At 35.4% G+C, this 26,259-nt stretch overlaps 1 protein-coding gene across 4 annotated transcripts in view, besides 1 other annotated feature; it reads right to left on the bottom strand.

The window, feature by feature from the left end:
* Window positions 1-367: 367 nt before the first annotated feature.
* The window catches only part of EPC2 (enhancer of polycomb 2), a 142,819-nt gene continuing 116,927 nt past the window's right edge, over window positions 368-26,259 (bottom strand). For 3 of the 4 annotated variants that reach the window (NM_015630.4, XM_011510943.4, XM_047443897.1), the window contains 10 exons: window positions 26,007-26,155; window positions 25,135-25,267; window positions 22,791-22,982; window positions 18,697-18,786; window positions 17,000-17,145; window positions 16,550-16,893; window positions 6,157-6,293; window positions 4,181-4,340; window positions 2,936-3,269; window positions 368-1,632 (listed from right to left, as the gene is read on the bottom strand). In NM_015630.4, coding sequence (NP_056445.3) covers window positions 1,560-1,632; window positions 2,936-3,269; window positions 4,181-4,340; window positions 6,157-6,293; window positions 16,550-16,893; window positions 17,000-17,145; window positions 18,697-18,786; window positions 22,791-22,982; window positions 25,135-25,267; window positions 26,007-26,155 — 1,758 coding nt within the window. In that variant the 3' untranslated portion in view covers window positions 368-1,559. The remainder of the gene's footprint in view (window positions 1,633-2,935; window positions 3,270-4,180; window positions 4,341-6,156; window positions 6,294-16,549; window positions 16,894-16,999; window positions 17,146-18,696; window positions 18,787-22,790; window positions 22,983-25,134; window positions 25,268-26,006; window positions 26,156-26,259) is intronic. The other variant, XM_011510941.3, reaches the window with a different exon arrangement.
* Window positions 23,561-23,730: an enhancer, noted in NCBI's record as "experimental_53210 CRE fragment used in MPRA reporter constructs". NCBI's record gives its function as "activates a minimal promoter by MPRAs in K562 erythroleukemia cells, with activity observed for the non-introgressed 2:149521861 variant allele {active_cell/tissue: K562}" and the evidence as "EXISTENCE:reporter gene assay evidence [ECO:0000049][PMID:34662402]".

The raw sequence follows: 26,259 nt of genomic DNA, 5'->3' as shown, positions 1-26,259 counted from the left end.
AATGGTTTTAATTGTATTCATTAAAAATATTTACATTTCCCAGTACTTACTTGACAAAACCCCCTTGCAATATAATTCTACTCTAAACTTTTATTTATAAAATGAGGCTCACTTATGACATTTCAATGACTGCGATACTGCAAATTACTTACATTCTGTAAAATATCTTACGAACTTTCATATCAAAGGTAGTTTATATTGGATTATCTGAAACCCAATAGAGCCCACAGATGAGCTTCCTATAGTTCTTTTCATTAATGCTTGGAAAGCATGTGAACATGAAAAGTGCTGTTAAGTGCTATCATCTCCCTTAAATTTTCACTTATACTGTGTGCACATTGTGAAATAAACACATATGCAGCATGTCCATGTTTTGATATGTATTTTTTATTTCCCTGCAGTTTTCACTTATCAAGAACAAGTAACAGGGAAAGTTGTCTGAACTAGTGCATAAACAAACATTCTGAAACACCACTACACGTATCTAATTTACAAGAACCGTATAAAAAAAGTCACTAAAACACTACACTATGAAGGTGTCCAACGCTTACAGTCAGACTTTTTCCAACCCGTTACTTGCCTTGTAGCCACAGGAAAACTCTCCAAAATTGAAAAGACAATCTTGCCACAACCCTCCCCCCGCCCAACACCTGGGATGGCTCGATATCTAGACTTCCAATAATTATTGCAATGATATAATGCAATACATACCTGGTAAAGTATCTTTTATGTGATGTGTTACAGTTTTAAAGCCAGTTAAAATATGCAGCCTTCAGATAAAATGTAATCCTCGAAAAATTTTCATATTTGCACAGTTTAAATGTGCTAGATGCATAATTTTTCCTATTCCATTTTTTCTGTGTAATTATTTTTTATAAATTGGTATCATAAATAGAAATATACATTCAAAATATATGGAAAAGTGAGTTACTACATTAAATTTGCATGTATCGATCCATCCCTTTCCCCTGCACAGTAATAGAAAATACTATTTTGCCTTGAACTTCATATTTGACAGTGAAATGCCACTAAAGTATTTACCAAAAAGTCCATCTAGTCAAATTGTGAAACAAAATGAACCAAGTGAAAACTTTACAGTTCCTTTAGAAAAAAATTACAAGAATTTCATTTCCTAGCTATGAATCTTTAACTTTTTAGACACAAAGTTGGATTTATTTTTACAAGATACAAAATGTAAACATGGCAAAATAAATAGTTAAAACAAGTGATGCAGGATCCCATTTCATGCTCATGATCCCATTAAAGAATTATTTTTTAAAATCCATTCAGTTGCAAATTCAAGTGCAAAAGCATGATGATGAATATCTACTATTCAAGTAACAGAAATAATATTGATGATACAAATAAACTATTTTACAAGGTAGTGATTTTCCCAATTTTACAAAATATACATCATATATGGATTTAACATCCAATATACTATAGTCCATTTAGGTCCATTGTTACACTCTGTGATCCACAGAGTGTTGCCTTTTGCATTCAGCTGGAATATGAATGACTGCACACCATCAGCACAGGTCAGAGCCACGTGTTTTAGGTTATGTCACTTCCATAGCTACTGTTGTCTCTGCTATTCCATTTAAGCCCAATCTTTCTGGTTCGTGGTTCTCTCTATGGTAATAAGGCAAAGGATAAAATAAATATCAATACTCTCTAGAACATGACGTTACCATTTAGTATTTTACAAAAACATTGTTACATAATTACAACTAAACATGACTTCACAAGAACAATTCCCATTTTTGCCATTTCTAGATAGGAATGAGAAAAACTTTTCTTCAGCTCAGAAATTCCATTAATTCCTAATTTTTTTATTATGGCTATTTACTTAGGAAAGATAATAATTTAACATGGCATTTCAGTAGAAGCCAATGAGAAATTACTTATGAAATATGTATCACAGGACAAACCAAGTTTTTCTTTTTTTTTTCTCGAGAGATGAAGCATATGACACTCAAAAAGAATAATCATTAGGAGCACAATATTACTGAAATTACTTTCCATTAGAGTTTAATTCTATAGGCTTAAGATCATGTATTTATTAACCTATGCAAATCAATTTTTTTCTGATTCATTGTTCTCCTTGTATTAGTGTCATAGAAAGAAATATAAAAACATTCTAAAATATACTATGGATGTCCGTAGTAATCCATAAAAGTAAATAAGGTAATTTACTTTCCCTTTGTGTATGACGCTAAAGAAAACACAAATTTGGATGTGAAACCTAAACTCTGGCATGGAGTTAATCATAACAACTCCCATCTTCCAGACTGCCTAAACTATAAAACATTAATACAAGAGGAACTTCACACTTGTAATCCCAGCACTTTGGGAGGCTGAGGCGGGTGGATCACCAGGTCAGGAGATTGAGACTATCCCGGCCAACATGGTGAAACCCCGTCTCTACTAAAAATACAAAAATTAGCCAGGCATGGTGGCATGTGCCTATAATCCCAGCTACTTGGGAGGCTGAGGCAGGACAATCGCTTGAACCTGGGAGGCGGAGGCTGCAGTGAGCTGAGATTGCGCCATTGCACTCCAGCCTGGGCAAGACAGCAAGACTCCATCTCGGGGGTGGGGCGGGCAGTGGGGGGAAGAGTAACTGAAGCTTCTAACATAGACTCTGATGTGTTTGACAGTTGGATGTCCTTTTCTTTCTTTTCCTTTCTCTCTCTCTCTCTCTACTACTACTCTGTCTTTCTCTAACAATCCTACTAGGTTGGCATTTAAGCATCCTACTAGGCACCTTAAACAAATACCTAAGTCACAGAGCTTTATACAGATCTTCAGTATCTATTGAAAATCAAGTCTGTCAATAAACACCTATTGCTTGAGCAGTGTAAAAAAAAGTCTTTTTCTTCCCACAGGACAGCCAGCACAAAGGGAGAAAAATCACTGAAACACACACACACACCTTGCTATGCTGCTGATGGCACTGCTGGGAGTAACCTTTGGCACTCTGTCCATACTGGCAGCAACTGTGGCAAGTTTTAAGGCTGTTGGCGATGGTGCTGAAGTCCGTGTATTGATATGCACATTGACTGGAGAAACAACACTGACATTATTGAGGTGCACTGCATTTGTCAGGCAGGAATTGTTCATGGGAAGTGTCTGAGGACTGCTTGTGCACAATGCTGGGATTAAGTGGTTTGTAGTGGTGTGGCCAACTGTCCTTACAAGCTGTACAGCTGAAATCCCTGGGCTGGATGATAAAGCCATATTGGTGGAGTATAATGTTTTAGAGGTTCCTGAAAAAGAAAGAAGTCATTCAACTAGTATCATGAGACATCAATACAACTATTTTTAGAAGCTTAATAAAATAAATACGAACATTTGTATTTGAATTGAATGCCAAGTTAACTTTTCACACACTGGTCTCTCCAAAGGGAGCTTCTGATCACTAAGTAGAATGTACTAATCTGCTACAACCCCCAAAACACCCTCTTTCTACTGGTCTACATAAAACGGCTTTGCAAAGTATTCTGCTGCCTGTATCTGGCAACTGTGGAGTTAAGTATAACAGGACAGATGGAAATGACAGTTGGGTTTCCCTAAGTATGTACACATGCATGAATATTAGTAAAAATGGACAATCAGGTTCATGGGTATATATAAAAGCAACTGGAAAATCCTAGGGTCTGAGAGGTAGTTGAAGGATGATAGGAATAACAAGTCTTTGCGGACTCAGGGTACTAAGAAGCACACAGGGTTTCACAGCAATACTCTATCTAAAGAGCGGGAGCCAGAGTTAGTATGCCTATGAGCAGTATGTAAGAGTGGGAAGGCAAATCTGATTTCCAATTTATTACTGTCCTGGATTATCTTTCACTTTTTTATCAATGCATGCATGATTCAATGGGGATGGTTAGCTCAACAGATTTCCTAAGATGTGAGGCAACTGACAGTATGTGAATGAAACCAGGAAGGGTAGAATGTTACACAGGTATGTATTCAATGGATGAGGGAGAAAACAAGGAGTAGATTCTACATGAATTCTAGAAAACATCTACCTATTTCCCACTATCTTTCCAAAGAAATCCTAAAGAGTCCTGATTGACTTATACACATTTTCCCCTTGGATAAAAAAACAAAAAACAAACTCCCAATCACTGAGTTACAACTTCAAGAAAGTAGGTACCATGTGAAACCCCAGCTGTACCTGAAGGCTGGACAACACCGTTTATGTTGTTGTGGCCAGTGTTCTGTTCCTTGGCTACCTCACTGCGACTTGGAACAGGTGCACTGACCACTGCAGATGCAGCAAAGTGGGCGCTGGCTGAGTCAAGTGTTTTAGACATACAGTCAGAGGTGCTTGAGCCCTATAAAATGAACAAAGTTAAACACTCTAATTTTTAGATGTGATTTTATGAACATATTAAGGGATGGGGCAAACCCAAGAGGCTGTTGCCTTTCTAACCTTGAACAATTACAAGTGTTTAGATTAAGCGATCTACGATTCCATAGATGATTTTTGGCATATGAAGCAGGGAAACGAACAAAAACTGAGAAGTTATTTCTGAGAAAGAACTAGAGATTAAATAACCCAAGGCTTTAATGTTCTATTAATTTTTCCAAAAAATATTAATGAATGGTTTTAAAAATGCTTGAAAAACTACATACTTGGATAAAATGAAATCATAGAGATGATTAATAGACATTTTTGTCACAATGTGAAAACCTATCTTGGCCTAACCCTGAAATAGGATGAAAATACTTTTGGTTGGTTAACCAGGAGACTCAGAAAAAGCAAACAAAGTAAAGTTAAATGGCCATTCCTCCTTGATTCTGTATAAAACTGGTTACTAAGTCCTAGTTACTAAGTCCTACAGCCCTAGTCCTTGAGCAAGTCCCAGATCCACCTGGATGTCACAGGAGTGTTGCATTCCAGGGTCACTGAGATTTTCATGTTACTGGAGTCAGGATCTTTAAAGTCAGTGTACTGACCCTTTGAGAATGGGCTGAACTACAATGGGCAGATTCTAGCCTGAGAGCTCACAAAATATAACCAAAATTGAGTAAACCTCAGTTATTACTTTAGAAGTGGTTTTAGAATTATAGAGCAATAAAACTTAAGACCTAAAACGCAAGGTTTATGTTTTTCAGGTGGTTCAAATTTGAAATAGATTTCTTAGTTTTGCTTTTAGTGGCTTAAAAATTTATTATCATATAGTTCTGCAGGCCAGAAGTCCACAATGAAGCTTATGGGGTTAAAATCAAGGTGTTGGCAGGGCTGGTTCCTTCTGGCAATTATGGTTTTATGAAGTATTTTTATTCTTATCTCTAGCATCTTTATTTAGTGGTGTCTACAAACAACTTCCCCTAGTGGCAATTTTCTTCTTCATTTTAAAAAATTTTAATTAATTTTTTTTGTTTTTTTTGGAGACATAGTCTGACTCTATCACCCAGGCTGGAGTGCAGTGGTGCGATCTTAGCTCACTGAAACCTCCACCTTCAGGGTTCAAGCGATTCTCATGCCTCAGCCTCCCAAGTAGCTGGGCTTACAGGTATTCACCACCATGCCCAGTTAGTTTTTGTATTTTTAGTAGAGACAGGGTTTTGCCACGTTGACCAGGCTGATCTTGAACTCCTGACCCCAAGTGATCTGCCCGCCTCGGCCGCCCAAAGTGCTGGGATTACAGGCATGAGCCACCGTGCCTGGTTGCAATTTTCTTCAACAGGGAAATGTGATTCACAATGGCAAGGGGTTATGCTGTTGATGTATTGCACAATTCAACTGAATTACTGCCCAGCTCATGGAGCACATCCACATGCACTTAAACACATAGTTTAGGAAGTGGTTAGGAAAGTTTTATCTTTCAAAAAAATCTTTGGGGGAGTGGAGGTGGAGAATGATTCTTACAACTACATATATAATTACTTCTATAAATTCTCAACAACCCTTCAAAAAATTTAAAATACCATATTTGGCTCCAGCACTCTTCTCAAAATATTAAGAGATTAGTTTATAAGCTAGTCACTTAAAATTACGTACATTAACTGAAAAGAAATTCAGGTTACAGACCCCAAATCAAGAGTGGCAAAACCAAGATTATCTTCTGTGACTTGACTAAAATGGAATAAAACTACATAATGATGAAAGAAACAAACGTAACTATGACGAAAAGAGCAGTTTACCTGTGCTTTTGGATGTGTCTGTTGCGAGGAATGCTGAGATTGCTGTTTCTGCTGAAGCTGGGCAAGTTGCTGCCTTTGCATCTGAACTAACTGCTGCTGATGTGTCTGAAACTGCTCTTCTGTGATACCCCCTGTTACTGGTAAAGAACATGAATTTTGGAAATGAGTACGTTTTAAAAGATTTTTAATAACACAAGCAGAATATGATATAAACTTATTCCACAATTAAGATGAAAGCAATTACAAATTACAATATGGAATATCAGAAAATAATCTAATGAAAATGGCAAATCTTCCAGCAAGTGTGGTGTATGCTTGTATTTATAATCTCCATCACATGCTAAGAAAAGTGCCTAAATGTAGTTTTTGTTGAATAATACAGTTCTAACATGAGTATTTTACCATTTATTCAGACTTAGTATCTTTGAGACCACTCTTAATTCTCTATATTATGGAGAGCATGTAATGAAAAAAACTTTGATTTATTCATGTTAATAATAATGATGACTAAGTTATAGCCTTAATAAGAAAGCAGGACCATCTGCAAGACTATAAATGATTTTTACTGCTGGTTTCATAAAACACTGAAGTGAAAATACTTTATTCTCTGATTACAAATCAAAGTAGAGAACAACATTCATCTAACATAACCACAAACCATAGTTTAAGCCAATAGATTCAACGCCTAAAGTAAATCCATCTATAAAAATATGGGCTAGAAATCAGACAAGTATTCAGAAAACTGAAGATACTATGTATCCTCAGATGTAGTAAATTCTACTGCGACCAACTGTGTTAAAAGTGTGTTTCAAATGAAAACAAGACATCTACAACTTTTGTTGAAAAAATCAGCTAAGTTACAGAAACCACTTTTCTCAAAGAAATGTAAACAAAATTTCATTCGTTGATATTTAAGTAGATCACTGATAAGTTGATTTAGAGAACACAAAGACATTTCCATGGAAGTCATTATAATATTAGAGTCAAGAAAAATTAAATGACATGATAATACATGTACTTTAGAGTAATTTTGCTCTGTTTTCTTTATTGCTTGCTATCCTTTCTCCCAATGATTTCAATCAACAAATATTTACTATCTACTATAATGCAGAATGCTGCACTAAGAGTCACAGTGAATATAGGGGAAAATAAGAAAAGGATCTCTGTTACAAAGTCCTGGAATGTAGTTGGGAAGAAAAGACAGACATAAGAAATACCAATTAATGAATCAACATTTACATGCAATTGAGTGATCTAATCAATATGACCTAAAGGAGTTTAGACTGGCAACTATAGCCTCAATCTACCTTACTTAACTCTCCCAAGTTTTCTGTTGAATAGGATCACACATGAATAATCAAAAAAATTTTTTTATGGTAAATTAGATATAACAAGTTATGCCTAGTACAGTCTATTTTCTATGAAAAAGGAGTTATGCCCCAGAAATGAACAAAGCTTTAGATACACTCTCATTTCTGTTCCACAATATTACCATTAAAATTTGTATTGGACTATAAGGGGAAAACAGTTCTTAGATAGCAACTTTATTTTTAAAAGACTCAAAACTGGGGGCTATTACAGTGCTCACTCCAAAATTTTATATTACCTGTATTTTTGAAGTACACATTAGTTATCTTACTGAATTACCAACAAAATCAAATGTCTTTCTTTGCACATGTTAAATTCACTGCAAGTGTTCTATTTTTAAATGAAAAATTTTTTTTAAATTCTAAATTTATAATCTTCAAACTCAAATGAAAATGTGAAGTATTCATGAATTTCCAGCTATTTGAAAACCTTGGGGAAAGAGATGAAAAATAGTTTATTAGATACAAAGGCAGAAAGAAAAATCTTAAATTAAACCCAAATAAATCTGTTTAAGTCCCATGTGTACAGTGCACCAATTCAAAAGAAATGGACTTGGAATCTGGTATTATTACAACAGTCCTTAAGTCCAGTGTCAAGTGTGTCCAGAGTTGAGCTTTATGTTCTGGTGAAAAGGTGAGAGGCACAGTGATTAACATTAAGTGAGGAATAAGCCAAATAAGGATATATACTTTCAGTTACTATTTCAAAATTGAGAGAGAAACAAGAATGAGAATTTTTTCTTCTTTCTAAAATCTTTTAAGTCAGTTGATAAAATCTTACTAATTCAGAATAAAGTATATATCTAAATTAGTAGAAGGAACAGTTTTTTGGAGACAGAGTCTTGCTCTATTGCCCAGGCTAGAGGGCAGTGGTGCAATCATAGCTCACTGCAGCCTTGAACTCCTGGGTTCAAGCAATCCTCCCGCCTCAGCCTCCTGAGTAGTTGGAACTACAGGTGCATGGCATCACACCTGGCTAATTTTAGAAATTTTTTGTATACCCAGGGTCTCATTACATTGCCCAGGCTGGCCTCCAGTTCATGGCTGCAAATGATCTTCCTGCCTCAGTCTCCCAAAGTGCTGGAATTACATGCATGAGCTACTGTGACCAGCCCAAATTGCTACTTTTTATAAACAACAAAAAATATTTTTTGGGTTGGTAGACCATAGATAACAAAATATTGCCAACTAGCTGTGTTCCACTTCTTTTTATGAACCATGATCATTTGTGTACATATTAAAAACGGAAACAGATAAAACTAGCTGTTTTTTGGGGTGTCTCCATTTACTGTCCTGTCTTCTTGAGACCATTAATTTGCTCAGGAACCTTATTCTTTTCTCCTCATAGAAAACTCAGAAAATCCCAATCTGGTTGCAATCCAAATTATTCAGATTAATGGTCAGTGTTTCTTAACCTTTTTAAACCTAGGTGGATTTTGATACTAAAATTCTCATTTCTGATCCCATTTCTGGTTGAGAATCACTGACACAAATTTAATTCTATATGTATATGCTTTAAAAAATTACATTCATTTTTTTCTTTTCCCCCTCACCTCAATCTCAATATGTTATATCCATTCTTGACATCTAGCTCTTTATTATTAAGTAAGGTATTCTGTGCTTGAAACAAGCTGATTTTCCTCATTCAGAATTTTCTAGAGCACTGTTTATTATTACTTCAAAACTTTAGACAAAAATTGCCAATAGTAATCAATGACACAAAATTGGAACACATACAAAACATCCTTTCTAACTCCTTTATTATTTCAGGGAGGAGGAAAAGTGGTATGAAATGCATAGTTTTAATAGGATGGACAAAATATTGAATTGCAATTCTCAGGGTTCTCAGGGTTTACTTACTGGTGGTGGGCGGGGGGGCAGGGGCAGGTGGCAGAAATTTGATTGAAAGCACTTTCTCTACTAGTTATTTTTTCTTTCATAAGTTACTGAAATACATTCATAAGAGATTTCTTACATTGCTTTGGATTACAAGAGGCACACATCAAAGTACATCGGGAAGAGGTAATAGTTATAGAGTGAACAAATCTGTTTCAGAATGAGATACAAGATAGAGACCCAGCTTTGGGTGAGGTGATCGTGGCACCATGGGCAAGTGGGAATGTACAAAAGGGAAACTGAGATTCTCTGCTTCTCTTGCTTAGGGCCAAGCCAAGTTCTTTTCACTAGTTGATCTTAAGTTGCTAGCTTAAAAGTGAAATTCATGCTGGTCATAAATTTATCTCACCACATGCCCACAAGTCTCATCAATTTAAAAGTAACCATAAATCTGATTGTTTTGTGAAGGTAGGAGTATTTCAATACTCCAGATAGATGAGAAGCATTCCTTTCCCTAAGTAAAATGTTTTGCAAAACTTCCTAGGTAACACATTCTATATAACACATTTGGCATACTTGTTACAGGATTTTCCCTTTTATATACCCAAATATGTCATTCAGGACGTTAGTAACATACTTGCATTTCTAGATATGTTGTATACAGAACAGTCTGTTTTTCACGAAAGCCCCTCACCTTTCTGGCTATCTTCTACAAATCTGATTCATTATCTATCTTGTAATTACCAGTCTACTTTTATTCCTCAGATAAATCCATATGCCTTTTCTTAGGTATCTGTCACCATCCTTGGAAAGCAGACTGTTTTCAAAGGTCCCAGCCATCCCTCATTTCATCCTTTGCCTTTTAGGTGTGTGGTTCCTGTATGGTGCTCTGCTTAGGGTGACTTTTTAGTGATCAACTAAAAACATACTCTGGGTACCTCCACAGATTTTACACTAACATAATGATTATAAAGCTTTAGGTCCTGCTTCTCAAGCTTGTGCCCACAGGTATTCTTGAGTATATGGGAAATCTTTGTTAACTAACAAAGATTTTTTGTTGACAAACAAAAAGAACAATCTAAACAGAAATACACTCTGGATCTTCTGGATCATCATCCCATAACAGAGTAGGAACACAGGATTTTTGTGCTTGTGCCTTTGTTTTTTCATCATCTCTTAACTTTTAATGCAGTGTTTCTTAAACTGGGCTAAGATGTATTCTTGGGAAGTCATGAATTTTTCAAATACTAGCCTAGACCAAATTTTCATAGCTTAATGAGGAATACCTAATTTGGTAGTAAAGATTATTTAAAAGTCAAAAAGAATACATCATCTAGTATTTCTTCATCTACCAGGTCAGTCTTTGTTACAAGAGTGTCTTTTCTTTTTTTTTCTCTTTTTTAAGAGACAGTGTCTTTGGCTGGGTGCAGTGGCTCACGTCTGTAATCCCAGCACTTTGGGAGGCCAAGGTGGGTGGATCACCTGAGGTCAGGGGTTCAAGACTAGCCTGGGCAACATGGTGAAACCCCGTCTCTCCTAAAAATAAAAAAATTAGCTGGGTGTGGTGGCACGTGCCTATAATCCCAGCTACTTGGGAGGCTGATGCACGAAAATTGCTTCGCCTGGGAGGTGAAGATTGCAGTGAGCCGGAATCGTGCCATTGCACTCCAGTGTGGGCGAGAGAACAAGACTCTGTCTCAAAAAAAAAAAAAAAAAAAAAAGAGAGAGAGACAGGGTCTTGCTATGTTGCCCAGGCTGTTCTCAACCTCCTGGCCTCAAGCCATCCTCCCACTTTGTCCTCACGAAGTGCTAGATTACAGAGGTGAGTCACTATACCCAGTGTTACAAGAGTTTTGGTATATGCTTTCTCAAAGATATGCTGACTATATGCAATTTTTGTCTGTTTTAAAGGGCAGGTCTGGGGCAGGATTAAAGGGTAGAGAGAGGGATCTTACATCAAATCCTCTGGGTTAGAATAGGAAGTCAGATGAAAGTTCATATAAACCACTGGTGCTACTCTGCTGACAAACATATCCAGGAGGGTTGACATGACCTTTCCAGGACTATATACATCTTACAAATGTAACTCTTACAGTGAAAGACAAACTAACAAATCAACTGAGTCTTTGGGGAGAGGAAAGATAAGGGGGGTTGGGGAATGAAGAACAAACAGATGTGAGGATAATGAAGAAAGACTAAAAATCCATTTAAACTTCTGAAACCCAAGCCAAATATTTACAATTGAAATTTCATTATTTCCTTTTATAGTCAAACTAAAATACTTTAATCCCTTAGGTCTGAATCCGTTTCTCACTTCTGGAAGCAACCCTAACCCTTAGCTAGATGTTAAATCACATTATATCAATCCTAAAACTATCATAGTTGCAAACATTTATGACAATTTAAGAATGAATGGGAAGAGAAACTGAAGAAATTAAAACAGGAATTTCTCTTGGAAAACTGTACAAACTTAATGATTTTGGAAATTAGTCATATTGGCCGGGCGCGGTGGCTCACACCTGTAATCCCAGCACTTTGGGAGGCCAAGGCGGGCGGATCACGAGGTCAGGAGATCGAGACCATCCTGGCTAACACAGTGAAACCCTGTCTCTACTAAAAAAATACAAAAACAATTAGGCAGGTGTGGTGGTGGGCACCTGTAGTCCCAGCTACTTGGGAGGCTGAGGCAGGAGAATGGCGTGAACCCGGGAGGCAGAGCTTGCAGTGAGCCGAGATCGTGCCACTGTACTCCAGCCTGGGTAACAGAGTGAGACTCCATCTCAAAAAAAAAAAAAAAAAAAAGAAAAGAAATTGGTAATATTTCTTTAAATATTTAAAGATATTTAAAGATATTTAATTTTTTATTTAATAAAGATATTTAATTTTATTTAATTAAATTAAATTTAATTTTATTTAATTTTATTTAAAGATTTTATTTAATTAAAGATATTTAATTTAAATAATTAAATATTTAAATATTTAAAGATATTTAAAGCTGGTCAGAAAGGCTGCTGGTATCTATTCTGTATATTATGACAGGTAAGAAAAGAAAAAAGTATTATGTTAATTTGCAACCATGCATTAGAGAAAACTAAAACTAAATGTAAATTAATCTGTCCTTTCAAATCTGAAAAAGCAAAGCACTTTTAGATATGAAATGCATTTTCTTGAGTTCTGGATTTAAGAACATCATTTCAAAGAACAGTTAAATAATACTGTAATTTCAAAGGATTATCCCGTTTATATGAAGAATGTAATATTTGCATGTGCTATTAATTAAGTTCCTTGAAGGTAAGGATTGTCTTGTAAGACCTTGCAACTTTTAAACATTTAACACAGTGTTTCGCATATAACAGATACTAAATAATGTATGAAATTAATTTCTCTTGGTTACTCAATTGTCATGTTCACCACAATCAATCTATTCTTTATCCTGCTTTTACTCTTTGAGAAGTGGTTTTCTTTTTCTTTTCTTTTTTTTTTTTTTTTGAGAGGGAGTCTCGCTCTGCTGCCCAGGCTGGAGTGCAGTGGCAGGATCTCGGCTTGCTGCAAGCTCCGCCTCCCGGGTTCACGCCATTCTCCTGCCTCAACCTCCCCAGTAGCTGGGACTACAGGCGCCCACCACCACGCCTGGCTAATTTTTTTTGTATTTTTAGTAGAGTCGGGGTTTCATCGTGTTAGTCAGGATGGTCTCAATCTCCTGACCTCGTGATCCGCCTGCCTCGGCCTCCCAAAGTGCTGGGATTACAGGCGTGAGCCACCGCGCCTGGCCCTGAGAAGTGTTTTTCAATTAAGAGAATATACCTTTATTTTACTTAAAGGTTAACAAAACACATCTCTGCTTTCAAATGAAAAGTCTTTAGTTTTAGTTCTAACATCTAGGATACACTTTTCAATTTTCCTTCAAGTATATAAAAGATAACAAATAGTACATGCATATATATATATATATAAAATATATTTTTTTTTTTGAGTCAGGGTCTCACCCTGGCTGGAGTACAGTGGCAGGATCTTGGCTTACTGCAGCCTCTACTTCCTGAGCTCAAGAGATCCTCCTCCCTCAGCTGGGACTACAGGCACGTGCCACCACACCCGGCTAACTTTTGTATTTTTAGTAGAAACCGGGTTTTGCCATGTTGCCCAGGCTGGTCTCGAACTCCTGGCCTCAAGTGATCTACCTGCCTCAGCCTCCCAAAATGCTGGGATTACAGGCGTGAGCCACCACGCCCGGCCTAGAATATATTTTGGACACATGGGTTATGACATGGAAAACGTTAATCAGGGTTTATATTAACAACATTTAAGAGAAAACTATTTGCCACTAGCCCTCAATTCCACATAAGATGCAGCCCTCTTTTTAATTTTTGTTTAAGAACTAAGGAACTGGTGATATAAATAAAGTGCATTATGTTTCTATTTCTCATTAAACGCTTCATTTGCTGGGATTTCCCAGCTGTGAAATGGACAATTCAGTACTAATAATCTGTTTAGCTCAGTGTTATTCTCTGCTAGGGAAAAGTATAATCCTGTGTTAGTCTTGTTCCTTTATTTTTTGTCTTATTACTCTTAAAAACAACTGTGCTCTCATGACCAAGCCCACTAAGAACAAGCAGAAGGAAAAAGTGTTCAAGACGCATGGATTAGAAAAACCAAACACATGAGGATCCCATTCTTTTGTATATATCCATCAAAAGTAAAAATATAGCTTTCTAAAACTCCCTCATCCTTCTATTTAGGTAGATGAGGAAATTCCTATCCACATTCATGGAACTGTAACTGAATTCACTTAAAATTATCTAACCAGAACTAAGAAATCTATATAATGAATGTAACTGATATAAATCATTAAATTATGGTTTCAATTATTTTAAAAAATGCTGTTAAAAAACTTTTTTCATTATGTATTTATATTGCCATGCCTATTATTTTAAAACAAAAGACATCTGTTGAAAACAAAAAATCTTGTGGTCCCAGTGACTAGAGGGGTCACAGTCAGTGAAGAAGAATGAGTTCAAACAAAATCTTTTACTCTAAGAATAAATTATTAAATAAGATAGATCTTATTTCAAAACACTGAATTCTAATGTACCTTACTTGTTGCTTAAGCCTTAAAATTTTTTAAGGGAAGAAAGAAATGGTACTGTATTGAGGATATTAAAAAATTTTAGATAGGAAAAATCACACAGACCAAAAAGATTATTTTTTTCTAATGGTAAGGTAAAGGTAAGAATACAAAAAAACTTGTTGTCTATGATGTTAACACTGATTACTTGTGACTTAAATTCCCTGAGAAGTACATGCACGCCTAAGATAACAGTTTAAATGCTTATTTTATGTTGTATGGTAGTGTCATAGGATTATAGAGGTGATTATAATGGAACTATTTAAGTCATATTAAGTTATATTTTGGACCAATACATATGTTGTATTGATGATATAACAATATATACAACATATATACACTTTCTGGAAAAAAGTCAAGTTAAATCTAGAGTTAATCTGGAATGTATAGGAGAAAGCTGCAAATATCTGACAATGTTCACGTTGAGAAGGAAGATATTAAAATCATTTTTTAATGTGGTATACATCAGCAGAGAAGACAATCAGCCTATGGTCAAATGTAATTATAAATGCCTCTATATGATATGTTTTAAACTCTCTTTTTGGGAAAAATTATTTTGAGAATGTTTAGTACAGGAATTCCCATTTAGTTAAATAAATTGGAACTTTGTCTTAGAGCTGGCTGAAAAAAGATTTGATTTAATATTTGTCAACTTTCTACTATCTTTAGATTTCTAATAATCCTGCAGCCTCAAATCATATTACGCATTCATCCATTTCAGCTTCAAGCACTCTTTCAACTTCACAGACTCATGAACTTTATATAATGGGAGGCCATTTTCCTTACTTAAGTTTGTTTAGGAGAAAATTAACCAACCAATTTGGATAAATGATATGCCAATTTCTAATCATTCAAACAAATCCAATTTTCCATTATAACCTTTAAACAAATCACTGTACGAGTCAAGTTGGAAAACAGGCAGTTCAGTAGCTAAAAGAGACTGAACATTATTGAGACCAAATTTCAAGCTAAAGTGATTTATGATCACTTTAAAGAAGTTTAAGATGATAATTTCACATCCTAGAATGCATCATCCAGGAAATAATTTAGAAATACATACAGAAAAAAATGGTATCAACAGTGTAAGTCAAGCCACATCTATTTTAGTCTTGGGATACAATGCATATATACAATGTATAAAGATATCTATAAATTATACATACTTGCATACATGTGATAAAGAGACCACAGAAGAAAACAAATCAAAAGTGTACCCTAGATTCTCTAGATATTATACATTATTTACAATGTACATGTCATAAAAATATTAAATTAACCTGAATACATTTCTTAAAAATGAAAAAACTTCCTGATTTAACTAGAGGTAAGCTATTGGACAAAAATTATTATTCATAGGGGCCGGGCACAGTGGCTCATGCCTGTAATCCTAGCACTTTGGGAGGCTGAGGCAGGTGGATCACCTGAGGTCAGGATTTCGAGACTGGCCTGGCCAACATGGCGAAACTCTGTCTCTACTAAAAATACAAAAATTAGCTGGGCGTGGTGGTGCACGCCTGTAGTCCCAGCTATTTGGGAGGCTGAGACAGGAGAATCGCTTGAACCCGGGAGGCAGAGGTTGCAGTGAGCTGAGATTAAGCCACTGCACTCCAGCCTGGGCGACACAGCGAGACTCCATCTAAAAAAAAAAAAAAATTATTCACAGGGAGTCTCCTAAAATTCATTTTTCAGCAAGAGTTTTCAAAGGTACTCTCAAGGAGCAATGGTTACATTTAATGAAAGTTTACGCACCAAAATGAAAACTACCTTTAACATAAGCAGCAGATAGTACTGTGCTGTGATGATCTGGTGGCAGCTTATAAGCAGTGTGGCCACAGGGAACTCTGTATGCATTCTGCCTACATTTACCGTACCAGGCACACACCCGAAACAGATGTCAGTGGTTTTACAGTACTAGTTAGGACAATTTGGTTAAAATGTGAGACAGAACAGAACAATTTTGTTTCTTAGGTTGGAAAAAAAATTAAGTAGGTTAAGATAAAATTCCTTTCCCAATAAAATTAAGTAAAAAAGAATAGCAGGATATACTTTTAACACAGCAACAGCTTACCTGATATGCCATTCTTGCTGGTGTTCAATAAAGCTACAGATGCTGCAGAAACTCTTTTATTGTTCACAGTCTGCCCTGGTTTTCTTGAGGTACATTCTTCACTATCACTGTCCTGTAAATTTAGTAGCCTTGGCTGGAAACACTGTAGTCGACATGATCTGATATTGCTTAATATTTCAGAAAGAGACAGTCTATTTTCACAATGTTTACTGGAAGCATTGGTCCGAGAGAAATTAGAAGAAAAGTCTATAGTTTGGGAAGAGCTTGAAAAACTATTCAGCATTTCAGGGTCTATCTGTTTCAGGACTGGGTCATGTTCTGTGGATATTCGGTCCATTATGACCCTGAAAAGCAAAATAAAACCAAATATTAACTGAGAGAGCTGAACATGTTCTCTTTGTCTTCTGTTCCAGATAGCAAACAAAAACCAGGTGAAAACAAATACTTCACCTTCCACCTCTGCCAATTCGCCTCCTTGCAAATCCTATACATCTTCTTGGGACTGTAAGTGTTGTAAGGCAATGCCTATACCTCAACTTATCCAAATCTGCCAATTCTGAATTTTCACATGAATGGTTAGCTTGGTCCAAACGAGGCTGCAAAGAAAGAAAAAACAAAAAACAAAAAACTCATGGAGTAAATCTGAAATGAAGACAGGTTAGATCATGATAAACATGAAGTAACTGCAACATTAGCAGAACAATTAAAATCTAGATATAAAACTGTAAAAGTGGGGCTTCATTGACTATTAATCAGGTTAAATTTTACAAAATTGAATCAAAAGTTCACTCACCAAGATTACCAAAACTGAATTTAGTTTGTAAATATAAATTCATTTAGGGTCTATTATACTTAAAAAGGAATATATAGTTAAAAATAATGCAGCTTTTAACATTTGTGTACAAAGTAGAGATGGTGAAATTACATAGTAATTTGTAGGCTTCCTACTGAGAAACCAGAAAGAATATTTTTTGGACTAAAAATTGCACTTCAAACACTATGGGGTCAAACTGAAGCTTCCTCTTTACTTTTAAGAAACACACATCCAAGCAGGATGCAGTGGTTCATGCCTGTAATCCTAGCACTTTAGGAGGCCAAGACAGGAGGATCACTAGAGACCAGGAGTTCAAGACCAGCCTGGGCAACGTAGCAAGACCCTATCTCTACAAAAATTACAAAAATTAGCAGCATGTAGTGGTATGCGCCTGTAATCCCAGGAGGCTGAGGTGGGCGGACTACTGGAGCCCAGGAGTTTGAAGTTACGGTGAACTGTATGATTGCACCATTGCACTCCAGCCTTGGTGACAGAGCAAGACCCTGTCTCTAAAAGAAATAAATAAGTAAATAAATAAATATAAAGAAACAAACAAGCTGTTCCCTGCCTTCCCATTCCCTTCATCATTTTATCATGCTGTCTGTCCCCTTTCGTTAAGAATTTTCCCTTCTCTCATCAACATAACTAGTAAACAAATCTCCACCTCTCCTAAATTTACACACTCTAAAAAAGCTGTCAGTGTATGCTTACCATTATATAGCAAGATAAATGATCTCTACAAGCCATATAAGAAAGTCAAAGCCATCCTCACAATGCTACATTATATCTCATTGAGAACCTTGGAGAGTGATATAATGCGACTTCATAGCATAAAGCAACTTCTAGGTGTGTCAAAAAGTTATGAATACAATTATTAGACAAAACATTGCCATTATGGAAGTATCAAACAAAATTATTATTTTGTTTGATACTTACTGGTATGTATGCACAAGATGGGCTTGCATAACAATAAATTTCAATAAACACCTAGCAGCCATCAAAGGTTCTAGAACCAACTTACAAATTCTGGGTTTACCTAATTCTAGTAATGACACACTGAGTAATTTTCACAGCTGCTGAAGCTATAATTAGAGCCCAAAATGAACCTAAATTTCTAAAATGTGAGGAATTATCAATTTCCAAGAAGAGGATTCCGACGCCCTTTGAAAGGACTCAGTACCTTTTAGCATCTTTTACCAGTATCCACATAAAGGATGTTAAATAAAAAGTACTGATGCATTTCCCATTTTTAGATCAAGACTAAGTCATCTTGACATGGGTTACCTGTTAATTCCAGTTCACAAAAACACCACACACACACAAAAGTTCTTACAGCATAATACTGGCATCCTGCCCGCCTTCTGAAAGCACAGGGACCATCAGGATCATTTTCTTCTTCCGGTTCTGATACTGGGGACAATACCTAGACAAAAGAGGCATTCCATTTAGAAGTTATCAAAAGTCAATAGATCAATGTTTGTAATACTCTAAAATGTAAATCTGATCACAAACAGTAAATCACTTCTATATTACATATCATAAGTACTGAATTCCCCAAAACATTCAATGACTAGCAAAAATTTTCTATAGTTAAAAATCATTGTTTTTAATGGATTAGTTCTTTCAGGTTAAGTCTAGATGGCATTGGTATTGCTTGATTGCTTCTAAACATGAAGTGCTAAGTCTTAGAATTAATACAGTTTTTATACATCCCATTATATTTTATAAATAATGTATGTGGCTATAAATATTTAATGACAGTTAAATATTTACTTCACCTATAGGTTAAGTGTATTTTTATCCAATAACTTTATCTCTCTGTAATAAAGCCAAAAGCTAGGACATAAAAACAGCTTATAAACAGCCAAAAAAAATCACCACAACAAAAAAAACCCCAAAGGCCATAAAGGCCAGGTTTTATTCAAAGGAAAGTCTTGTATCTCCCAACTCATTTTTCAAAAATCACTTTTTAAACTTAGCAGATCAGAAGTAGAAAAGAAGAAGAGAAATGACTTGCTAAAGTAAGCACATTGGTTATAGAGAAGAGATAAGCCCGCAACGCTAGAGCAAAAGAATAAAGACTTTCAGAAAGCTGTCACATATTAGAAAGCACTCTTCCCAGGCCATGTCCTATCAGGCCAAATATCCCTATGTAATTGAGTGGACTTCTAGGGCAGTAGCATTGACCTATTAGAGCACGCTTTATAAATGTCACAAAAACAGATTAAATAATATACAAATACACTGAAGATAGGGAAATAATATGTTTTAGATAAATTTCCACCCATAATTATTAAAATTTTTTTAAAAGTTTTGGTACTTAAGTTTCAGTTGTCTCGCACTCTCACTTTGTAGAACATCTCTTTTTCTGATAAACGCTGGCTCAACCATATTTACTTGCAAATTTCTGAACCTCACAAATCCCTCTCTTCCTATTTCGAGAGGAAAAATGTTTTCTCCATATTATTTCCAAACTGTGGTAATTACCACTGAGCAGGGTCATCCAGGGGAGAAAGGTATTTGTTTGAGGTTCCAATATACCTCCACCAACCCTATGGGGGAGACACAGAAACAGTGAGCTGGGGCTGAATCTTCTTCATGGGGAACCAAGCCTCAAACCTGAAATTTGAAAGGAAATCCCAAACGTGAATTTTACACTTTGGTTCCTTTGCAAATAACGTACCTATTCTAAGATATACACAGGAAGTGTCACAAAGTCTCAGAAATTCTGTGTATAAAATCTATCACCCCTTCCTCCTAACTACGATTCCCCGGGGTAGATTCCAGGGGACAAAAGAAGTCTGAGGCATAGGAAGACAAAGCTAATGTTAGGAAAATCGGAAGCACGATCAAGAGGCAGAGTTTTAGCTCTGTTCAGCTGCAATTCAGTGGCATAAGTCTGGTTAAAATGTTTGTTCTCTTAAGGCTCCCTATTCCTTGTTCTTGGTTTATTAGACAAAGAAAAATATGATTACTTTAATGATCTTGTCAGCAATAAAATCCTGATTTTATAAGATGTACACTCTGAATAGCTGCCTCACTGAATGACGCCCAAATATAGGTAAACATTAATACTTACTCTTTAGTAATATGGAGATACCATAAAATTAATGAGGATTGTCTAAGACCTAATACAAACAATCAGAAGAACCTAAAAGTTTCAAAATGCAATTTTCATGTGGGTATGGGAACTGGAAACTATATAAATCAATGCAAGAATTTGGAGCAGAAATGAAGATCCCTTAATGCATGAGAAACATATGAGTAGTTATGCTGAGTGAGCTCTACTTTCAGGCTGGATGTACTGATTCCACCGATAAAAGTTTCTGTAGGTCATAGCACCCTACAGTATCATTCATTTTTTTTTTTTTTTTTTGAAACAGGGTCTTGCTCTGTCGCCCAGGCTGGAGTACAGTGGTGCAACCTTGGCTCACAGCAACCTTCATCTCCCTGGCTCGAGCAATCCTCCCGCCTCAGCCTCCGGAGTAGCTGGGACTACAGGCATGTGTCACCACGCCTGGCTAATTTTTCTACGTTTGTTTCTGTTTTTTCGGTAAAGATGGGGTTTCACCATGTTGCCCAGGCTGGTCTCCAAGTCCTGGGCTCAAGCAATCCACCTGCTTCGGCTTCCCAAAGTGCTGGGATTACAGGCATGAGCCACAATGTCCAGTCTACAGCATCATTCTTAAAGGGCTGGAAATATATAGCAAAACTTTCTAGGCTCTCATTAGTACCACCAATATAAGCCTATTATACAAATATTTATCTAACTATGTCATTTTCTTACTTAACATTTTAAATAATTTCCCAGTATGTATGATGTAGATAGAGGCTATCTGCCATCTGGGTATTACTGCAGGCATCAAGCCTTTCATCCCCTCTTCCTCTTCTATGTTTTGTGCTCCAGCAATGCGAAACTGCTAGGAGTTCCCTCTAATATGCTGTGCCTAGAACCCTTCCCTATACTTTCTATCTGGAAAATTACTCTTTTGTAGGGCACTATATCCCTCATTCCTTCAAAATGGTCATCTGATAAATGTCCCATGGCTATTCAAAGCTCTGCCTGAGTCAAACTAGATGATCCTCTGACAAAAGTAATATATGGGTTCATTAAGTGCTCCTGAAGGGAATATAAAATTAAGCATATCTTTGCACATTTGATACTATTCATATGACTATCAGAATATTATCTGGGTAGAAAAACCAATTGGTGAAAAAGAGTAAAAATAATATAATCCAGCCAAATGGACACATTTTATGCAAACTCCAGATTTTAAATGGTTATAGCAATGAAGAGTTTTATAAACAGTCTTGCTTTCAAACATATCTATAATGTTGGTTTTTAAAAGAAAGTTTCCTTAAAGCAAACAAGTCAAAAAGTTAAAATATGATAAAGCTGGTAGTAGTTCAAGGTCTTTGTTACAGTATTTTCTGTTAAGTTTCCCATACTATTTTTAAAAAGAGGGTATTGCTAGAGCAGGTGATACACAATATTTAAAAAAAAAATGGATCTTTTTTTTGTTTGCTTGTTTGTTTTTGAGACGTCGTCTCGCTCTGTCGCCCAGGCTGGAGTGCAGTGGTGCGATCTCAGCTCACTGCAAGCTCCACCTCCCAGGTGCACGCCATTCTCCTGGATCAGCCTCAGGAGTAGCGGGGACTACAGGCGCCCGCCACCACACCTGGCTGATTTTTTTTGTTTTAGTAGAGACAGGGTTTCACTGTGTTAGCCAGGATGGTCTAGATCTCCTGATCTTGTGATCCGCCTGCCTCGGCCTCCCAAAGTGCTGGGATTATAGGAGTGAGCCACCACGCCTGGCCGGATCTTTTAATATATAAAGTAAAAGTCTTATTTTAAAAACAGCACTTATAAAAATATTTTTTAATTGCACACATTTTTCTATAAAGCTGTTGCAATATTTATCAAAGAGTTAAAACTTGAATCAGTTCCTTTAAGTCTTTTTTAGAATCAAATAGCCATTACCTAACAAATTAGCAAAGTTTACATTAAAAGTTATAAAACACAATGCTGGTGGAGTGTGGTAAAAAGGAAAGTATTGTTGATGAATATTTTCAATATTTACAATTATATATTAACTGTCTTAAAATATTGATAATTTTTGGTTAGTAACTAGTAATTCAATTTCTAAGAATCTATTTTAAATAGAGGGAAAAAATCTATGTTCATTTTTATAAATGGAAAAACTAAAAACCATGCGCTCCACAAAAGAGTAAATTCTATACAACTGATGAAAAGTAATACAGAGTAAATACCATTTCAGTGGCTACATAAATACTGTGGAAATGTTTATGCTATATACATTAGGGGAACAAAGCAAGAATAAAAACTCTAAGATAGCAATTGTTTTAAAAATATAGCAATATAAAATACTAAGAAGAAATATCTTTAAAATATTTTAAAACAAGCACCTGTGGAAATTCATCTTCATCTGAGCTGTGAAAATCATATTGCTTAATGTCACTCTTATTGATCACAGGCAATGTCTCAGGAGTGGGTTGCTGAGATGTTATCAAAGCCTCTGCTTTAGGCTTCTTTGGGTACTTCTTCTTTTGACGAACCACATCAGAAGCCTCTTCTTTCAAAGACAAATGATGAGGGTGCTGTTTACATGACGATTTTTCCCCCAAAAGGAAGAAATAAAAATCATTTTAGAAATCATGAAAAACTATACTGCTCTTTGAAAAACATACATTTTTACCCAGGAGGTGATTTTATTGTTTTTAATACGCAAAAATTATTCTGTGTTCATAAATTGAAACATGTTTTACTTTCTGCAACTTATGATGAAAAATAATTATGGTATTTAAATTTGCTTTTTACATTATTATCACTACTTTAAACTATGTGAGTGATTTTTTGGATTGCTCTATTATGTAATCCAGTATTTAAAAGGTATTTAAATTCAATATTTATTTAAATCTGCTGTATTGATAAAAATTAACCACTATTTTTATTTTTTAAAATCTTCAACTGGATCATGAGTTTACTGTCATTTCTACACTTAGATCTAATTTTTAAAAATGTCTGTTCTATGGATGGTAATCTTTTGAGAAAAATAAGCTTAACTAGGAAAAAAACCCTCACTTTTTAGAATGTATAATTACTGCAGCAACTGAACAGTAACGTTCTGAAGTCCCCCAGGCTTCTGTGGAGGTTCCTGAGAGGCCATCTGGCAAAGACACTGACTGAAGGGGTAGGTTTCCAGCCCCCACCTCCCCTCAACAGAGCAGCTCTGTTACTGTTTTAACATACTGGCATTCCTTTTAATAAAAAGGGATCTAGCACTTTAAAAGTCGGAAAAGACTGTTCCAAGCACCAAGGTACAAACTACACAATTTATACATTTCCACATCTAGTCCAGATATTAACTACTTTAAGGTCAAAAACAGTACACACAATAAAAATATTGCTTGAAAGGCAAATTATATTTAGTGAGATATAAAATTTTTCATATAATAGGTATAACTATTACATCAAAACAAAGCCCCAACTTTCAGAAACTTCCCATATTTTAAAGTGGGATACATGACAAAGTAAATATAATTAACCATGTGTAATGGAGTAGGACAACAATGGATGCAACCAAATCCCTAAAGTTAGTATTTAGGAAGGCTGAGTATTTATTCATAGAGGAGGTCTAAAATAAGAATCAATATATAATAAAGGCTGATTCTGTCAGTAATTCTGGGTTAAGATTTTCATATTGCAATGCTTAACAATCACATACCTAGGAAAAGCATTGATTGACACAAAATGGATTTTTAAAAATAACTTACAAAATGACATTTGCACTGATAACTTTTTCGGCTATAGAGACAAGCGAGATTTAGAGAGAATCAGGATGGTGGGCTAGACGCCTGTGATTAATAAGAAAGAACTTTAGTGTTTTAATTGACATGAGCTGAATGAAGGAGTCTTCCTGCTCCACACTCTTTCTTGACCTTTAAGAATGAACCCATGAAAAATGAGAACTGTGTACATTTTTAAAAGATGAATTTTCCACAAACACCCTAGGTCATTTAAAAAATTTTGCTACAGAGTAAAGCTCTATTGTCTAGAAGCTTCAGTCAATATCTGTTTCCTATTTAAATCTATGCTCCTTAAAATTAAAGGCTTTATTAGTTTTCATATTTCCCAATTAAATACTTTAATTAATGTACCAAGTGAGGACCAAATAAATATAGTTATCTAGTCCAAGTGACTAAAATAACCACTGAGTCTGGCTCTTTCATTAGGAAGAAACTGTGACCCAGAAATTACAGGACTTTCTCAAAGTCACTCAAGGTAGATAACAATTGATAAATGCTGGCTCTGGAAATGATGATGACAATAATAATTTTCAATAGTCTCAATGAAGAAAGCTTTGAGGTGTTGATTCCTTCCATTACAATGCAAGGTTTGCTAAGGCTAGTGATAATAACTAGACTTTAATTACCTTTATTCCCTAGGGAGGCAGATAGCATATTGAACATGACGGACTATTAGACCTGAACTGAAACCTTGAATCTGCCACTTACTAGCTATTATATAGAAGTCACACAGATGCAACAACTATCTCTAAGGGTTGTTATGAGGATTAATTGGTCAGTATGTATATAAATACTCCTAGCAAAGTGCTTGGCTCATGGTAAGAACTAAAGTCACGTTAATTACTTTTTCTTTACTCAAACCATATTAAGACAACTGCAGAAATCAATAACTCCTCTGATCAACATTACCATCCATACATGCTTCTTCCCAGACAATATTCACCTTAGTTTTACATTCTTGAACTTTGTGATGATTTCCATTATGAAGAGTTGCTGGAGTGGCATATAACTCTTTTTCTGATCTACTGATTTTTACTTCATTAAGGATTTCACCACCATAGTCTCCCAAATGGTATCTTGAAAAGGTAACAAAAATATAAGAAAACATTGCATAGTTTGACAATAAAGAAGGAAAATAAGTGATACCTCAATTAATTGGAAGTCACCTAGTCAAAAAGGGCTAACAATCAAATTACTTTTAAAAGATAAAATTTGCAGGAATAAAGAAACAGGGATTTGGTAAAAACAAAACAAACCAAAAAACTAAAAAAGGCCTAAGGTACACAGCAAACAAATTTCTTACATATATTATATAATCAAGCACTAGGAAATGTTTAGAATGCTTACTCCAGGAATCATACAAAATTCTGTTTTTGTTTAGTCTATTTAATTTTGTAGGAAAATATACTATATTAGAGCACACATTTCTAAAAGGAGTTGAAACGAAAAATGTCTACCTACTCAGAAAATAAAATCAATACTTATTTCCCTCAGATTTAATAGAAAATTTAATACAGAGAAGTAAACAATATGATCACTAGAGTTCTTTACTAAATAAAATTCAATGATTCTGCCAAAACAAAATTAAGTATAGGATCTACAGTATACACAAAACTCTCCCAAAATCTGCAATCCAAATTGATAACTTAATCTATAAAAACTAGTAACCACAAATCTTTAAAAAATATAAATTCTTACAGAATCAATATCAACTGTCATAAAGCTTAACCTGTTCCCCCCTAAAAATCTTTTGGTTCATTTTGCCCATCATTTGGTAAAGTTGTCATTTTACTGTTGTAACAGGAGCAATGTTACCTTTTCTCCACAACTTCTAAGGTTAAGTGCAATAATTCTCGTTTTGTTTTCTCTCTTCTCTTAATCATTTCCAAAATTGTTATGGCTCTACTAAATTCTCGTCTCAGTTTCAACATCTTTTCATAAGAGGCTTCATCATTCTTACGATTCTATTAAAAATAATAATTTTAGAAGAATAAACAACACAGTTATCTACATTTCCGGCTTTATTCAATAAACTCTTATCAGACCTGAATTTATCCTATAAAAGTAA

The sequence above is a fragment of the Homo sapiens genome, chromosome 2, assembly GCF_000001405.40.
Source record: "Homo sapiens chromosome 2, GRCh38.p14 Primary Assembly".
Lineage (NCBI taxonomy): Eukaryota > Metazoa > Chordata > Mammalia > Primates > Hominidae > Homo > Homo sapiens.
Note: the sequence above shows the minus strand (reverse complement) of the source record. Positions and strands in the feature narration are given on the sequence as shown.